The 17,924-nt window shown below is 43.6% G+C and overlaps 1 protein-coding gene and 1 long non-coding RNA gene across 10 annotated transcripts in view; one reads left to right on the top strand and one right to left on the bottom strand.

Annotated features, from left to right (window-relative positions):
• The window catches only part of LOC105373204 (uncharacterized), a 175,604-nt gene that overhangs the window by 47,207 nt on the left and 110,473 nt on the right, over positions 1 to 17,924 (top strand). For 5 of the 8 annotated variants that reach the window (XR_007068239.1, XR_007068234.1, XR_007068238.1 and 2 more), the window contains one exon: positions 9,248 to 9,307. The exons of 1 other annotated variant lie outside the window; for it this stretch is intronic. This is a non-coding gene — a long non-coding RNA (uncharacterized LOC105373204). Of the gene's footprint in view, positions 1 to 8,977; positions 9,097 to 9,247; positions 9,308 to 17,924 lie in introns of all 8 variants that reach the window. 2 more of the 8 variants (XR_007068232.1, XR_007068237.1) reach the window with 1 other exon arrangement.
• NUDT10 (nudix hydrolase 10) lies at positions 11,855 to 17,149 on the bottom strand. Of its 2 annotated transcripts, NM_153183.4 has the most exons (3): positions 17,013 to 17,149; positions 15,921 to 16,497; positions 11,855 to 13,141 (listed from the first exon to the last, which is right to left on the bottom strand). In NM_153183.4, coding segments are annotated over exons 2-3 (495 nt in total). In that variant the 5' UTR covers positions 16,415 to 16,497; positions 17,013 to 17,149; the 3' UTR covers positions 11,855 to 13,140. The 2 variants fall into 2 exon arrangements, with proteins under 2 accessions (NP_694853.1, NP_001291892.1); NM_001304963.2 differs by lacking the exon at positions 17,013 to 17,149 and having other exon boundaries at positions 15,921 to 16,558.

Here is a 17,924-nt window from a genome sequence, read left to right as displayed (position 1 = left end):
AACCACATAGGGATGAGGTCAGAGATATGGAGTGGGTAAGACATTGAGAAGACTGGAAAAACAGTGAAGTGACTGCTGCAGAAACAAGTCACATCAGTCTTGTGGCTGTGGAAAGAGAACAACCATGAATGGTGGGGAGAAAACACCGTTGACCCTGAATGGTCACGAGTTGGAAGGGAGACCATTAATCTCTCTCTCAGCTCTTGTTCACAGGGCATCTGGCCAATTTCATGTTCCCACCATTCTCAACTTAATTTCTGGCCAAGAAGAAATCCCAATCTAAGAATTCTCAGAAACCTCCTAACATCCACTGACTCCAGAAATAGCCTCCACTTGAAACAATAATAAGATTAATATTTTGTACACTGATATGATTCCCTTTAGCCTCATCTTGTTATTGTTGGGCTCTTTTCTGTGCTTTTATATATTTAACTGCCTTGACTACAAGTGACTGAAATCTATCCTGCAGATGGGTTCAGTCATCCTACTATGAGTTATAGTCATGATCACTCTACTTCAATGTTGCCTAAGACAAACAGAACAGATTTGGTATAATCAGTACAAGTAATTGGGACATCTGATAGGGTCATATAATAAAGAGTCTGACTCCAGAATTATGAAAAATAAATGTCTGTTGTTAAAACAACCCAGTCTATGGTATTTTATCAGAGCAGTCTGAGTGGACAAAGACAGAAGTCTACTAAAGTTATGTTTGATCTGTATAAGCAGAAAACTTTAGGTCAAATTAATAAACGTGTAACCTGAATCATAAAAAGAGTGTCATAGCTCCTCAATCAATTCTCAGATATGAGCCAGTTCACAGACACAGAAACTCTTGAATTGAAAAGGAGGCCAGATCCCCTTGAGGAAGGACCCTGAAACACTGCCAAAAATGAATATTATTAATCTGTCTCCCAACCTTTCCCAAAGGAACCTACAGCCTTATGCCAGGGTAACTCTGCATAGGAGAAAAGAAAATAATCAGACCTTTCAGGGACTACTATTGGCTCTGACACTAATTTCAGGAGGCCTAAAACATCATTGTCAGAGTAAGGTTGTATGGAGGTCAGGTGAACAATGGAGTTTTAGCTCAGGTCCACCTCACAGTGGGCCCAGTGGGTCCCTGAGTCCATCCTATGATTATTTTCCCATTTTAAGAATGAATAATTAGTGTAGATATACTCAGCAACTGGCAGAATCCCAAAGAATGACTTTTGCAGTAAGGGCTATTATGGTTGAAAAGGACAAGTGGAAGCTGCTAGATCTTCCTCTACCTAGGTGATATGGTTTGGCTATGCCCCCACCCAAATCTCATCTTGAATTGTAGTTCCCATAATCCCCACATATCATGGGAGGGACCTGGTGGGAAGTGATTGGATCATGGGGGTGGTTCCCCCATGCTGTTCTCGTGATAGTTCTCACAAGATCTGATGGTTTTATAAGCATCTGGCATATCCCCTGCTGGCACTTCTGTCTCCTGCCACCATGTGAGGAAGGGCGTGTTTGCTTCCCCTTCTGCCATGATTGTAAGTTTCCTGAGGCCTCCCCAGCCATGTGGAACTGAACAATTAAACTTCTTTCCTTTATAAATTACCCAGCCTTGGGCAGTTCACGCTTGGGCAGCATGAGAATGGACTAATACACTAGGAAAATAGTAAACCAAAAGCAATATCATGTTCCTGGAAGGATTGCAGAGATTAGTGCCACCATTAAGGACTTGAAAAAATGCAGGGGTGGTGATTCTCACCACATCCCAATTCAACTCAAATATCTTACCTGTGCAGAAGACAGATGGAATTTGGAGAATGGCAGTGGATTATCATAAGCTTAATCAGGTGGTGACTCCAATTGCAGCTGCTGTTTCAGTGTGGTTTCATTGTTTGAGCAAATTAACACATCTCATCTGATATGCAGCTATTGATCTGGCACATGCCTTTTTCTTCATACCTGTCTGTAAGGCCCACCAGAAGCAGTTTTCTTTCAGCTGTCAAGGCCAGGAATATACCTTCACTGTCCTACATCAGGGGTATATCAACTGTCCTACCCTATGTCATAATTTAGTTTGTGGGGAACTTGATCATCTTTCTCTTCTACAAGAAATCACACTGGTACATTACATTGACTATATTATGCTGATTGGACCTAGTGCATGAGAAGTAGCAACCACTCTAGACTTATTGGTAACACATTAATATGCCAGGGGCTGTGAAATAAATCTGACAAAAATTCAGGGGCCTTCTTTAGTGAAATTTCTAGGGGTCCAGTGGTGTGGAACATGTCAAGATATCCCTTCTAAGGTGAAGGATAAGTTGTTGCATCTGGCCCCTCCAGCAATGAAAAAAGAGGAACATAGAGAAGATGTAGGTCAAATAATAGAAAGTTATGGTATGTAGGATGAATGTCTACACATCTAGTGTACAACATGAGGACTATAGTTAATAATATTGTATCATATACTGGTAATTTGTGAAGAAAGTAGATTTTAGGTACCTTTATTACAACAACAACAAAATTGAGATGATGGGCATGTTAATTTGCTTGACTGTGGAACTCAGGGTTCTACAACAAGTCGAGGCTGCTCTGCAAGCTACTCTGCCACTTGGGCCATGTGATCCAGCAGATCCAATGGTGCTTGAAGTGACAGTGGCAGATAGAGATGCTGTTTGGAGCCTGATATGGTTTGGCTGTGTCCCCACCCAAATATCATCTTGTATTCCCATGTGTTGTGGAAAGGACCCAGTAGGAGGTAACTGAATCATGGGGACAGGTCTTTCCCATGCTGTTCCCATGATAGTGAGTAAGTCTCACGAGATCTGATGGTTTTTAAAATGGAAGTCTCCCTTCACAAGCTCTCTTCTCTTGTCTGCCACCATGTGAGATGTGCCTTTCACCTTCCACCACGATTTTGAGGCCTCCCCAGTCACATGGAATTGTAAGTCCAATAAACCTCTGTCTTTTGTAAATTGCCCAGTCTTGGGTATGTCTTTATCAGCAGCATGAAAATGGACTACTACAGAGCCCTTGGCAGGCCCCTATAGGTGAATCACAGTGCAGGCCCTTAGGATTTTGGAGAGGATCCCTGCCATGCTCTGCATATAACTGCTCTCCTTTTGAGAAATAGCTCTTGGCCTGCTACCGGGCCTTAGTAGAGACTGAACAATTAACCATGGGCCCCCAAGTTACCATGGGACCTGAACTGCTATTCATAAAATGAGTGTTATTTGATCCACTAGGTCATCAAGTTGGGTGTGCACAGCAGCACTCCATGAAGTGGAAGTGGTTTGTTTGTTTGTGTGTGTGTGTGTGTGTGTGTGTAAATAACATTATGCCCAAGCAGGCCCTGGAGACACAAATACCCTATGATTAGTTGGCAGAGGAAGAGAAGGCTCAGACCTGGTTTACAGATGATTATGCGTGATATGCAGGCATCACCCAAAAATGGACAGCTGTAGTGCTACGTCCCCGTCCTGGAACATCCCTGAAGGACATTAGTGAAGGAAAATTACCCGGCGGGCAGAACTACAAGGAATACAACTTTTTGCTCACTTTTCTTGGAAGGAGAAATGTCCAGACATGGGATTACATCCTGATGCACAGGCCGTAGCCAGTGCTTTCATCAGATGGTCAGGGACTTGGAGGGAATGTGATTGGAAAACTGGTGATAAGCAAAGTTGGGAAACAGCTATGTGGATAGATTTCTCTGAGTGAAAAATGTTAAGATATTTCATCTCACGTGAATGCTCACAAAGGGTGACCTTAGTATAGAAGGATCTTCATAATCAAGTGGATAGGATGACCTGTTCTGTGGATACCAGTCAGCCTTTTTTCCCAGTAACTCCATCATCATGCAATGGGCTTGTGAACAAAGTGGCCATGGCAGCAGGGATAGAGGTTATGCACAGGCTCAGCAACATGGATTTCCACTCACCAAGGCTGACCTGGCTACAGCTGCTGCTGAGTGCCCAAACTACCAGCATCAGAGACCAACACCAAGTTGCCAATATGGCACTATTTCCTAGGGTGATCAGCTGTCTACCTGATGGCAGGTCGGTTACATTGGACTACTTCTGTGTTAGACTATTTTTTGTTGTTGTTTACAACAGAATACCTGAAACTTGGTAATATATAAAGAAATTTATTTCTTACAGTTATGGAGGCTGAGAAGTTCAAGGTCAAGGGGTTGCATATGGTGCAAGCCTTCTTGCTGGTGAGGACTCTTGTAGAGGTTATTTTTACATGCCTAAGGTGGTGCAGGGCAACACATGTTGAGGCAGCTGAGGAGTGTGCTCACATGGAGCTCAGGTCTCTCTTCCCCTTCTTATAAAGCTGCCAGTTTCACTCTCATGATAACCTATTAATCCATTAATCCATGAATGAATAATTAATCCATTCATGAGGGCTCTGTCTTTTAAAGGCCCCATCTCTCAGTACTGCCACATTGGGGATTAAGTTTCAACATTAATTTTGGAGAGACATTGAAACCATAGCAACTTCCATTATGAAAAGGCAGAATTTTATTCTTACTGGAATAGACATTTACTCTGGAAACTGGTTTGTCTTCACTACCTACAGTCCTTCTGCAAAACTACCATCCGTGGACTTAAAGGATGCCTTATTCACTGTCATGGCATTCCATACAGTATTGCTTCTAATCAAGAAACTAAGTTCACAGCAAATGCAGTGCTGAAATGAGCTCACGCTCATGAAATTCACTGCTCTTACCAAGTTCCCCATCATCTTGAAGTACCTGGCTTGACAGAACAGTGGAGTGACCTTTTGAAGATTGCATGCTAAGTGACAATACCTTGCAGGGCTAGAGGAATGTTCTCCAGGAGGATATATATGCACTGAATCAGTGTCCAATATATGGTGCTGTTTCTCCAATAGCCAGGATTCACAGGTCCAGTAATCAAGGAAGGGAAATGGGAGTGACACCACTCAGTAAACAAGCCTTGTGACCTACTAGCAAAATTTTTGCTTCCTTTCCCCACAACCTTATACTCTGCTGGCCTAGAGGTCTTATGCCCAAAGGGAGGAATGCTTCCACCAGAAGATACAATTATTCCATTGATCTGGAAGTTAAGATTGCCACCTGGCCACTTTGGGATCCTCATGACTTTGAATCAACAAGTAAAGAAAGGACTTACTCTGATAGCTGGAGTAATTCTGACTACTAAGGAAATCAGATTGCTATTCCTCAAAGGAGATAAGGAAGAGTATGTCTGCAATATAGGAGGATCCGCCAGGGCATCTCTTAGTATTACCATGTCTTGTAATTAAAATCAATGGTAAACTTCAACAACCTAATTGAAGTAAGACTACTAATGTCCTTAGGAATGAAGGTTTGGGTCACCCTACCAAATAAAGAACTATGACCAGGTGAGGTGTTTGCTGAAGGCAAAGGAAATACATAATCAGTAGTGGAAGAAGGTAATTATAAATACCAGCTACTACTATGTGACCAGTTACAGAAATGAAGACGGCAATCACTATGAGTATTTCCACCTTATTTTGTTATATGTTTGTGTTTGCATGCGTGTGTGCATGTGTGTGTGTGTGTGTAGCAAATATCTTTTTCTTCTTTATCTTATCTCCTTTTCATGTAACACAAGATGCATGAACTTGTTATCATAGTATTTAACTTATGAGCTATCAAAGAGATTAAATGCAAAGACTTTGCATCTTCTCCTGGGGAAAAGGTTATTCACTTTCCATTGCATGCAGGAGAGTTGTATCATGTTAAGTAGAAAGTATGGCCTTGTTATTGTCTTTTTGAGGGGATAAAGTATGGTTTAAGATGTGTATGGTTGCCAATTTGACGAGGGGTGGACTTGTGATGGTTAATGTTATATGTCAACTTGGAGGGTGTTTTGGGGTGAGATTAATATTTAAATCAGTGAACTTTGACTAAGCAGATGGCTCTCCACAATATGAATGGGCCTCAGCCAATCAACTGAAGGCCCGAATAGAATAAAATGGCTGACCTCCCTGAGCAAGGGGGAATACTCTAACAGACTGCCTTTGGACTTCATCTGTACCATGAACTCTCCTGGGTCTCAAGGCTGCTAGTCCACATAGCAAATTTGGGACTCACCCCAGCCTCCATAATTTCATGAACCAAGTCCTTATAATCTGCTTCTATATATGTATACACATCCTATTGGTTCTGTTTCCCTGGAGAACCCTAATACACGTGGTAGCCCTGTAATCTTAGGGTAGTTACTGAATATAAAATAGAGGACAAAATGTATGCCTCCATTTAACCATCATAATTGTTGTCTTGACTAAATTCCCCATAGTTATAGCATCCATTGCCCTAAAATATTGTATAGTGGGCATGGACTCTCAGACTCATTAAATAATAAATCAAAATTAGATTGAGTCTTTGGCATTTACAAACTGACTTGAAGAAATGGGCCTCCATGAAAAACTCCCCCACAATGTACAGAGCTAAGAGAGCCCAGTGTCAATTAGACATTGACAAGACAATGGCTCTTAGCTCAAGGCAGAGCCTTCAAAGGATTGCAACCCATTTTACAAGGCCTATTTAGAGAAGAGGGAGGGTGATTATATCCAATGCTTCTCCATTTAACAGCTTAATTTGGCCCGTTCCTAAACTTGGAAAGAATGAATGAGACTTCTTGATGAATTACCACAGCCTTTATGCTGTGGTCCCAGTAATTAGACCCCCTAATTATGATTACAATGGAAATTATTGACTCCAATCAGCAACTGATAAATGTTTTGCTATTGTATATTTGGCTAATACATTCTGTTTAGTGTGTATTTCAATAGCCTCTCAGCCCGTTTTCCTTCCCTTCCAAAGTGAAATGGTACACCTTTACCTGGCTACTTAGAGGGTACCTCAACAGCTCTGCTATCTCACACAGTCTTTGCAGGCAAGACCTTAACTGCATCTAACTTGCTCCAGGAGCACAGATATGACACCACATTGATGGCATCCTTTTCTAAGAGAATTCTTTAGAAAACTCATTCAGGACATACAAATATTCTAAGAAGGAGCTCACAAAAAGGGGATGGACCATTGCCCCACACAGGGCACAAAGCCTTGCCACCTTGTTTAAATTCCTGAATATTGGTAAACTGAGGGCATTCCATGCCTGTCAACATTAAAGCTTGCCCAACATATTTAGGCCTTTGTGGGTTCTGGAGGCAACATTTTCCTCACTTACAAATTTTACTTTGGCCCATTTATGCCATTACTTGCAAAATAGGCCCACCTTGAGTGGGACCCCCTCCCAGCAAAATATTCTAGAATTTTTTCAACCATATTAGTGCCATGCCCACCCTGAGACTTCTTCACTGTAGAGGCTTTAGCATCCTCCTCTAATGCCTCTCGGAGTCCTTGTACCATCCATGATGGCCATGAGTTGTCCATGACCTTCTGATGCAAGAAACTGCCTTCGTAGGTCTTATGCTGTATATTGTTAGAGTGGCAACTGCTGGATACATACTGGGGTCTTGTGGAAATAGAGGCTTTCATAGGCACTCAGCTCATGACCTTCCATTTCCAGCTAATTATGCCCTGGGTCTTGGAAGCAGCACCCTACAAACTAATCACAGCCACCAAAGTCTCTTTGTTGCAGGAAGGAACCAAACCTGGGCCCTCTGGCATATCACACTTACAGGTGGAGATGGCCTCCCCTGTCCTCAGTCCTTTGCCAGATGCCATGGTGCTGGATGAGGCTACCCCTCTACCAGACCCTTTGGCTACTTGGGGACCCCTGTAGAATCAACTGAATGAAGAATAATGGGAGTTTGTCCACTTTATGGATACACTGTCATAATCACACATAATGGAGCTCAGTGGATTGTTGCTGTTTTTTTTTTTATCCCTTAGTTAGGATGTCTCTGATAAAGAACTGGACCCAAGGATCAGTACAATTGGCCAAACTTCAGGCTATTATCTTAGCAGTGGATGCCTGGGTCACTAATTGACCCCCTCTGTAAGTATTTAGACCCTTAGGTTATTGCCAATTATATGGTTGTCTGGTTTGGACAATGGCAGCAACAGAAATTCCTTATCCAGTGTCTTTTTTGGGGTATGGAACTCTGGGAATCTCTTGCCTCACAGATACCAAAATATAAGTCAATACCATACATGCCTTTACATATAATAAAACTATAATACAAGGCCTCATTAAGACACTCGTTACTGCCGTTAGAGTTCCAGATGCCATTTATTGCCACCAAGACATTCATTTCACTTCCCAGAATACACAATGCTGAGCTCTAGAATGAGACAGTTGATGGAACTTTCATCTTTCTTACAGGTATCAGGCTACAGACCTCATAGAGCACCATAATGGATTATTTAAATCTGTTTGAATTCAACTACAAAAACGTAGTACATTTTATTTCTCGAACATCAGGAGTAAATTGTAATAAGGAAGCTGTCTTTTTTTTTTTTTTGGATGTTTGCTGACAGCATCTAAGCCTCACCTCAGTTCTCCTTAAGCCCTGCATTTGGACAAGCTAATGAAATTCCTGGGTGCTCTCTCCTTTGTTGTTGAAAGGAGTTTCAAACCATGCAAGTCCCCAGCTGCACATTGGAACCCTCACCCCAGCACCCCTAACCACCATAAAAACTGTAAGCTAGTCTCCTTTCCTAGCTCTATCAAGACATTTTCAGATCAGCTTTGGAAGCCTGCCTTGCTCTCCCAAAAGAGCCTCATTATGCGAGTAATAAACCTTTGAATACCCTGTTGATGTATATACAGCATTATCGCTCTTGATATCTAAACCAAATTTTGCATGGGGTCCATTCTGTATCTTTAGAGTGGCCACAACAGGTGGCTTATGTTTGTAAAAAGAATCCTTAGGTGGATATATGAAAGGAGAGTGGAGTTGTAGGGGAATGGCTCCTCCATGATGGCCTGGCACCCTTGCATATATCCATGTAGGCTTGAACTGCAGCTAATCTGAGTTTTGGTTAATTGTTTTGTGATCCTCCCAGAACACAAGAAGATCAGAGGCTGTAAGGAGCTGCTATAAGGCCTTCTCCCAGTCACTTCCCTCTCTCTCCTGAGAGGCTGTCTTGAATGAATTTCTCATCACTTACCAGATTCTGATGAGGTATGGAGCTTTCCTTCCTGTGCCTTTTAGAATAGAGCTGCGGAATATATAGCCACTCAGCCGCAGTATAGATTTGGCTCCTCAGCCAGGGAGTATCCCTCAACTTGCATTATAGTCATCTAGCCCCTTTTGTTTCTTTGTTGTCTTTTAGGGTATATGAGACAAGGACCTGGGGAGTTGGCCTCTTTGGTTCATTCTTTGTACTGTTTATGTAAGTACTAAACTGTCTCAATCTAAAAGTGGTTCCTTGTATTTTTACCAGTCAAATCAGTCAGGCTTTAGCCTTGTCTATATGAGCTTGTTACCATATAATCCTAATAATCCTAATTGCTGTCTATGTTTTTTACCTGTAAATTAAAATAATTAGGATACTTGTGTTCATTCAAAGGTTCTTACATTAAATAAATACTGAAGGATTACCATGTTCTTAAATCATTTGTATTTGGGAAGCTTTAAGCCTTCAGTGAATTATCAAATGCAGCTGTGGGCCAATTTAGCACCTAAGGGAATATCACACAGTCCTTTATGAAGCTAAGAAGTCAGGAATATATTGGTACTGGAAAATCCTGAAAAATAAAGGCATGGTTTATAGATGAAATATTCTTCCCAATAAAGGGAAACTTAAAAGAGAAACTTGATCAGAGATCACAGTCTTACGGTATCTCATTTTTCATATTTTCAGGTAAACAAATACCTGGCAAAATAATAGCTATGTGTTTTTCACAAGTAGGAGGTGTGGCAACCATTTATATAATAAACATGTTAGGAACATCTGTGGGATGCCATATTCCAGGCTCTGTGCCCGACTCAGGACACAGAGACAACCCAGTCTGGCTCTCAAAGCTAGTGGACCTCAGAATTAAGAAGACAGAGACATTCAGGCTAATAAGTATACTTTTGATAAGAACTATGACAAAACAGGGCTGGGCATGGTAGCTCACACCTGTAATCCCAGCACTTTGGGAGGCCAAGCCAAGTAGATGGCTAGAGCCCCAGAGTTTGAGACCAGCCTGGGCAACATGGCGAGACTCCATCTCTACAAAAACTGAAAAAATAGCCAAGTGTGGTGGTACACATCTGTAGTCCCAGTTACTCTAGAGGCTAAGGCAGGGGGATCTCTCGAGCCCAGGAATTTGAGGCTGCAATGAGCTATGATCATGCCACTGCACTCCTGTTAGGGCAACAGAGCAAGAGCCCATCTGTATGAAAAAAGAACTATTTCAAAAAATATCAAGAAGGGCTTCTCAGAAGCAGTGATTTACAAAAGTAGGGACTGTAATTACCGCAAATTTACAGATGAGAAAATTGAAAATTAGAGAGGTAAACTAATCTGGCAGAGGCCATACAGCCTCTGGTCAAGACAGTTTTGAGCTATAGCTTGTTGGATTCCGAATCACTAAATTGTTTTAATTTACATCCACCAAACTACAGCTTCCCTGGCTCTGCTTGCCTCTAAACTTAAAAAAAAATCTGCTGGCCGGGCGCGGTGTCTCACGCCTGTAATCCCAGCACTTTGGGAGGCCGAGACGGGCAGATCACGAGGTCAGGAGATTGAGACCATCCTGGCTAACACCGTGAAACCCCGTCTCTACTAAAAATACAAAAAATTAGCCGGGCGTGGTGGTGGGCGCCTGTAGTCCCAGCTACTTGGGAGGCTGAGGCAGGAGAATGGTGTGAACCCGGGAGGCGGAGCTTGCAGTGAGCCAAGATCGTGCCACTGCACTCTAGCCTGGGTGACAGAGCAAGACTCCATCTCAAAAAAAAAAAAAATCTGCTACAATCAGAGTAGACTCAAATTAGAAAACAATTTCCAGGGAAAACTTGATGAAAGTTTTTCTGGTATATCATGGTGCCTTCTCACAGGGGAATCTTGGAACTGAAAGCTCTGTCCAGCTATGACTGGTAAAGGGCTCTAAGGTAAACTTTTCACCTCCCCTTTTCCCAGTAACAGTTGGTTCTGGGGAGTTGCTTGCTCTTGGGATTGGAACACACTTAAAGAACAGAAGTAGAAGGGGCAGCTTCAGCTTCAGTACTTCACACTTAGGAAGGAATTCATCTTCCCTAGGAGGGACCTTTAATACTCTTCTCACTTTCTGCCTGTTCCTTCTTGACTCACAAAAACATCAGGACAGACACCATGTTTGTTGATGTAAGCACAGCCTTTACAGAATTTTAGCCTTTGCAGAAATTTAAGCACAGTCCAGAACTGAAGGAGTATCTGCAATCTGTGAAATGCAAAATGGTCCACTGAAGTCAGGAATGTTAACTGCTTAATTTCCTTTTTTACCTACCTTCAAATATAACTTTAAACTTAATTATGTGCAGCTAACAAGTTTACAGCTATTGTTCCCTTAAAAACTATTCAAAAAGTGGCTTATGTAGATTTTTATAAAATTCCATAAACTTTCTCCTTGGAGACTCCACCTCTTTGATTTTTCACATTTGTATGAACTGGTATGTAGGTGTTATCAAAACCCCTGCTCAACAGCATATAAGAATCCATTCTTATTTTCTAGTATGAATAAATAAGAATCTAGCTTTTCCTATTTCAATGGGCCAAATTAAAAGAAAAAACTGCTAACATTGGTCTACAGCAAGGGAACTGCTAGCCACTCCAGGGTATTTCTCCCTTCTCTTTTTGGGCATTTGACCCCTTGGGCCAGAAGCGGTATGCCACAGCCAACCTTTTTTAAACAATCTAAATATTTTCCTTTTTTTCTACCTTATATATTAGGCTTAATAAGAATAACTCCAGTAATTATTTTTATAAACTTTATTACGGAAAATGCCAAACATACAAAAATAGAGATGAACATATATAATGAACCATCATTTTAGCCATCACCCAGCTTCAACAATTATCAAGGCCAATTTCGTTTCATCAATATTTCCAATGCACTTAACATCCAGACTTATTATTTTGAAGCAAATTCCAAGAATCATATCATATCAGCCACAGATGTTTGAGAATGTAGATGAGGACCCTTCTTTCTAACATAATGATAAAACCATTATTCTAATACCAAATACCCCACCAATGTTCAAATTACCCCGATTGTCTCATAAATGTATTCGTTTTACAGTTCGGTCAAATCACAATTCAAATAAGATCCAATTAACAATTGGTTAATATGTCTCTTAAGTCTCTTTAAATCTATAGGTTCATCCTCCATCTTTCATCCTTGCAAGTTATTTACAGAAGAAACTAGGTCATGTGTCCTGTAGTTTCTTATAGTCTGGATTCTGCTGATCTCATCTCCATGGTGTAAAATAATGTTTCTCTGCCCTATTTTCTAAAGATTAGGAATTATTTCTAGGGGCATGGTCAAATTTAGGTTCAATGTTTGGGCAAATATTTTAAGAGACGGAGTCTCATTATATTGCTCAGGCTAGACTAAAGCTCCTGGGCTCAAGCTATTCTTCTGCCTCAGCCTCCTGAGGCAGACGCGTAACACTGTGCCTGGCTTTGCAAATATATTTTACAGATAGTGTAGTATACTGCCATCTGGAGGCACACATCTGGGATGACACAGACATAGGAGTAAGAATTTTTGCTTTCTAGTATCTCACAGCTGCCTTGAAGCAGTTGTGTGACACTTGATAAACAAAAGTCACATATATGCTAGACAGATTAGAAAGGGATTGTTTAACCATTCAGTATCATTACAAAATATGAACTACTGAAACAAATCTTCAGTGATGTCTACCATATTCTAAGCAATATCTTATATGCTAGATATATAAAAAAGACTAAGGAAACAAGTTCCTGGCATTCAAGGGCGTATACTCTGCCGGGAAATACAGACACATAAGAGCACAAAAAAGGCCACAGGTGCCAAGTTAGAATTATGTACAGATACAGCGGTAGTGCAACAACCTGGAGAATAGTCATTGTAATAAACAGGGAAGAAGTGTCCAAAAGCATAGGATGAGCTGTGTCCTTGGAGTGTGAAAGAGCTCATCTGTGCTTCACAATTCCATTCATCCATCCATTCACATACTTGATTCTTTCAAAGTAAATCTGAACAACATCTATGCCATTCACCTAAAAAGAAAAATTCTTATTAATAGGGTTTTATTGGTTCATCCATTCCTCTAATCAACAAATACTTATTGAGCACCTACTATGGCTCATCAACCATTTTGAATTGGAAAAGCCTTCAGTGAATTATCGAATGCAGTTTCACTGTGAGGCCAGATGAGAGCCTGAGGGAATAACAGATTGTCCCAGGTACATTATGAAGCTCAGAAATCGGGAATACACTTGTAGACATTTCTAATCTGTGGATCAAAGACAAATGTCTCCAAATTTCAGGCACTGTTCTAGGCTCTGAGGATATGGGGGAGGATTCAGTCTGGGTCCTAGTCCTCAAAAAGTCCATATTCTAATAGGCCAACAGTCATTCAGAAAGATGATTGCAATACAAGAATGATGCTGAGAATATTTGTTTTGACTGATGCTTCCACAAAAGGAACTCTGAAAAATAAAACTCTGGCCAGCTGTTAGTGCTGTAAGCTCTAATCTCCCTTTTCCCAGTCAACAACTATGGAGGGAGGACATGCTTTTTCTTACAATTGAACTCCACTTAAAGGCAAGTGAGACAAGGAGCAGCTCCAGCATCAGAGCCCTTTAAACCATCTATCCCACAAGGGCCCTCTAATGTTGCTGTTTCTTTACAAGCTCTTACACATACACACTTCAATTTTTATCAATTTTCTACAGGACTTAAAAATATTTATGGCCACCTTTCACCCCTTTCAGGGTTACTTCTTTCAAAGGTGACCTGATCAACAGAACATAGGTTTCTTAGAAAATATGTTAACCATCCAGAGCAAATTCTGTATCAAGCAACCAAACTTACCTTTACTCCAACATGTCGTCTTCAAATTTTTTTTAGAATAAGAAAAAGTAGGCACTTGTCCATTGGGGGACAGGGACGAGGGGGAAAATCAGTCTTTTTTTTTTTTTTTTTTTTTTGAGACGGTCGCCCAGGCTGGAGTGCAGTGGCACGATCTCGGCTCGCTGCAACCTCCGCCTCCCGGGATCAAGCGATTCTCCTACCTCAGCCTCCCGAGTAGCTGGGATTACAGGCGCACACCACGATGCCCAGCTAGTTTTTGTATTTTTAGTAGAGACGGGGTTTCACCATGCTGGCCAGGCTGATCTTGATCTCCTAACCTCGTTATCTGCCCGCCTCGGCCTTCCAAAGTGCTGGGATTACAGGCGTGAGCCACCGCGCCCGGTCCCCCAGCCCCCACCCATACTCTCTTCAAAAACTAGACATTTCCTCAACTGTCATGGGAGATGAAATCCAGAAGAGGAACCTAGAATTTACATAGCGAAACCCAAAATTTCTTAATAGAAAGTGCGTAACAGTGACCCATAGAACAAGACTCCATCTCAAAAAAAAAAGTTAAGGGACCCCAATACCTGTCAATAATGTTTAAGAGATATGACATAGTCTAGGTTGCTCTAGAAATTAGGAATGATCTTTTCATTCGAATACCCTCTTCACAAAATAGGTTTTCCTTCTACCTAATGTCAGACATGGCTGGGGGAACAGCGGAAGGTCCAGAAGAGAGATTTAGCTATTCTAGATGGGATTCCTGACTTCAAGCAAGTACTGAGGCAAACGTGAGAGCTTTTAATTTGGCACCCAGAAAAGGTGGTACTGTGAGACAAAACAATTACTCTCTATCATTGAGAGATTGTTCAGGAATCCTAATAGTTTGACAATTCTGTACCAGCTGAACATCGCTAGAGCTAACTCTGTTGGGATGTAATCACCACAAAAGATTCCATTCCTGTGGTTACTGGGAGTCAGGGAGGTTAAGCGGAATGTCACTACATTCAAATATGGAATGGAAACCACTTTCTTTCAAAAACAAACTTAAATCCAGAGAACCATGGTTCTTCTATGGTATCCAGTAAGGGGCAATGGGAGTTGGAAGTTGAGTATGGGAAATCAAATTCTGTGAATACAGTTTTTCTGATCAGATGCGTTTGGCTAGCAGATCCCCAGCAGCATCTATTCAGTAAGGTTAATCTACATGGGAAATAGCGATTTAAAGTCAGCAGTGAAAAATTACTTGTGAAAATTTTTTGAAAACCAAATGACCTACATAGAAATAGAAAAAGAAATTTCTGAAAGGGGCAAATGAGATACCACTTCAGAGGCTAGAGCGACTGTCGAGTGCAGAAAGAGCACAAGATGTAGGATTTCCTAATGTTTTTACGAATTCAAAACTGATTTTTTAAACCAACTCCCACCACAGAAGGCCTCCCTGACAACAAGGGCGAACGCTGTGAAGGAGAAAACAACTCAAGGGAAAAAAATACTAAAAGATGCCACACAACCAAGCTGGTCAGACTTTAAAGGCCTCCACTACCAAACAAACCACAAGGCTGGTATCAAAAATGTGCACGCACCCACGAATATGTGTGAAATATAAAAGAACCAAAAACATCACAGGGCGCACAGGCAGACACACACACTCCCCGCCCACCCCTCGCCCCCCACCCCCCCCCCCCCCGCCCAAAAGCAGGGTGAACAGTTACAGCACCTAAAACCCCAAGCGGCATAGGCTTCTCCGAAACATTTTACAGGGTAACCAAGAAGCGATTTTGAAAGCAACTGAAAAACGTGCCAACTGAAAACAGGGCCTGGCAACAGTTTGCAAGCGTGATTCAGAGGGTCTGCCAAGGAAACAAAAGCCTCCCTCCTGCCCATGAGACCGCACATGGTACGAGAGGTGCTCCAGGCGGGATGCATTTTAAGCAAGGCAGACAAACAGAAGTCTGTGCGGGCGCAAGCGGTACATACTAGGGATCGCTATCTGGCGAGGATGGGGCCATGGAGTTTCCATTGGTTGGGGAACCGCCCAGCTTTAGTTTCTCCAGATATTCGGCGTGCACGGGCTTGTGGCACTGGAGAACCTTGATGGCATCTTCGACTTTGAACCACTCTCGCTTCCTCCCAATGCTAACCGAATCTTCCCAATCCTCCAGCAGCTCCGTGACAGTCAGTACATACACGTACGTTCTGTGCTTGGGGTCCTGGTTCTGTTCGAAGACGCCCAGGAGCCGGCCTAACTTCCCCTTGACTCCCGCCTCTTCGTACACCTCTCGGACCGCCGCACCGCCCGGCTCCTCCTCGGGCTCCATGCCCCCGCCCGGCACGATCCAGCGGTCCGGGTACCGGCTGCTACTCACTAACAGGACCTCGTCCTCGCGCTCGCTCCGGAAGCACAGGCACGCCGCCCGCTTCTTGAACCCCTCGGGGTCGTAGGTCCGTGTCTGGTTGGGTTTGCACTTCATCCTCGAGGCAGCCTCCTCTCGCCTCTCGCTGCTGTGTGGGCCGCCGACGCAGCTGCTGCCGCTGCCGGGCAGCAGCCGAGGTGCTGGGAAGAGAAAGGGCCGAGGAGAGGGGCGGGGAGAGAGAGGCGCCTCCGTCTGCCGTCTGCCCCCGAGCCCGGGGAGCGGAGGGAGAGATGAAGCTGGGCGGGGCACGGGCGGAGGCGGGGGCAAGCGAGGCGTGTCAGTCAGCCAGTCCGCCAGTCCGATGGGCGGCCGGCCGAACCCGGGCCCGCCGGAGTGGAGGAGGCGCTGCTGCCCGCGAGCCCGCGACTCTCCACAGAGCCCACCCGCTTCTGCGAGGTGAAGCGCATTCTCGGGCGCGTCCGCGCTCCCGTTCACGTGCGCGTTCGCAGGGGAGGGCGTGGGCTGAGGGGCGAGGAACCGGGGCGAGGGGCCAGGGGCGGGGGTCTCCTGGCTCCCGCAGCGCGCAACGCCTGGGGCCCACTGCGCAGGCGCTTCGCACTCCTGGGGCCAGGAACCTCCTTGGCGCACAGCGAAATTCACCGCATTGTGACTTTGGCCAAGACTGCCTCCATGTGTGCCTTTGACCCAAACTCACTGTGGCACGGCAGGACGTTTCTCCTCTCACTCCCCACTGCGCTGCAGGAAACCCACAGGCAGTTGTTTCACACAAGACAGGGGCAAAGGCAGCGTCGTCATCATCCTCCCCCACTATCAACCATTCTGGCTTACTCATGGGACCTGGGCCCTAGTGTTGTCTGCACAACCCACGGGATTCTTGGCACAGTAGCCGGGCATCTTTGCTGAGTCACATGATGCAGTTTTATTTCTTCAACAGGTTCCCACCTTGCAGAGCATCTTGGCGCAGCCAGTAATTTAACGCTTTTCTTAAACCCCTGTTCACAACCTGCCTGACCTCCCTGCACCTCAGTTTCCTCATGGGTACACTCCTCGCCTCCGTGTTGCAGCCATTTGCACTTCGATGCAGTACACCTTAAAGACCAGAGCACCACCCATCTAGTAGTCCTGCGTTAAAGCCCAGAGACGTTCTCCTATTCTCCACACACTCCACCCTTCTCTATCTTTCTCTTTGATAAGCACCACTTGGTGTTTGGGAAACCATGCACATGGAGATCCCGTCCTATTTCACAATTTTATTTTATTTTATTTTTTGAGATGGAGTCTCACTCTGTCGCTCTGTCGCCCAGGCTGGAGTGCCGTGGCACGATCTTAGCTCACTGCAACCTTCGCCTCCTGGGTTCAAGCGATCCTCCTGCCTCAGCCTCCTGAGTAGCTGGGATTACAGGCGGGTGCCATCACGCCTGGCTAATTTTTGTAGCTTTAGAAGAGACGGGTTTCACCATGTTGGTCAGGCTGCTCTTGAACTCCTAACCTCGCGATCCGCCCACCTCGGCCTCCCAAAGTGTACTATTAACCACCACAAAACAAATAAAATACTAAGGGGTCCTAAAAATGTGGTTAGGACTTAGTAGTACAAAATGGTTGAACT

The sequence above is a fragment of the Homo sapiens genome, chromosome X, assembly GCF_000001405.40.
Source record: "Homo sapiens chromosome X, GRCh38.p14 Primary Assembly".
In the NCBI taxonomy this organism is placed as follows: domain Eukaryota; kingdom Metazoa; phylum Chordata; class Mammalia; order Primates; family Hominidae; genus Homo; species Homo sapiens.
The sequence above is the reverse complement of the archived record's forward strand: the minus strand, read 5'-3'. Positions and strand labels throughout refer to the sequence as shown.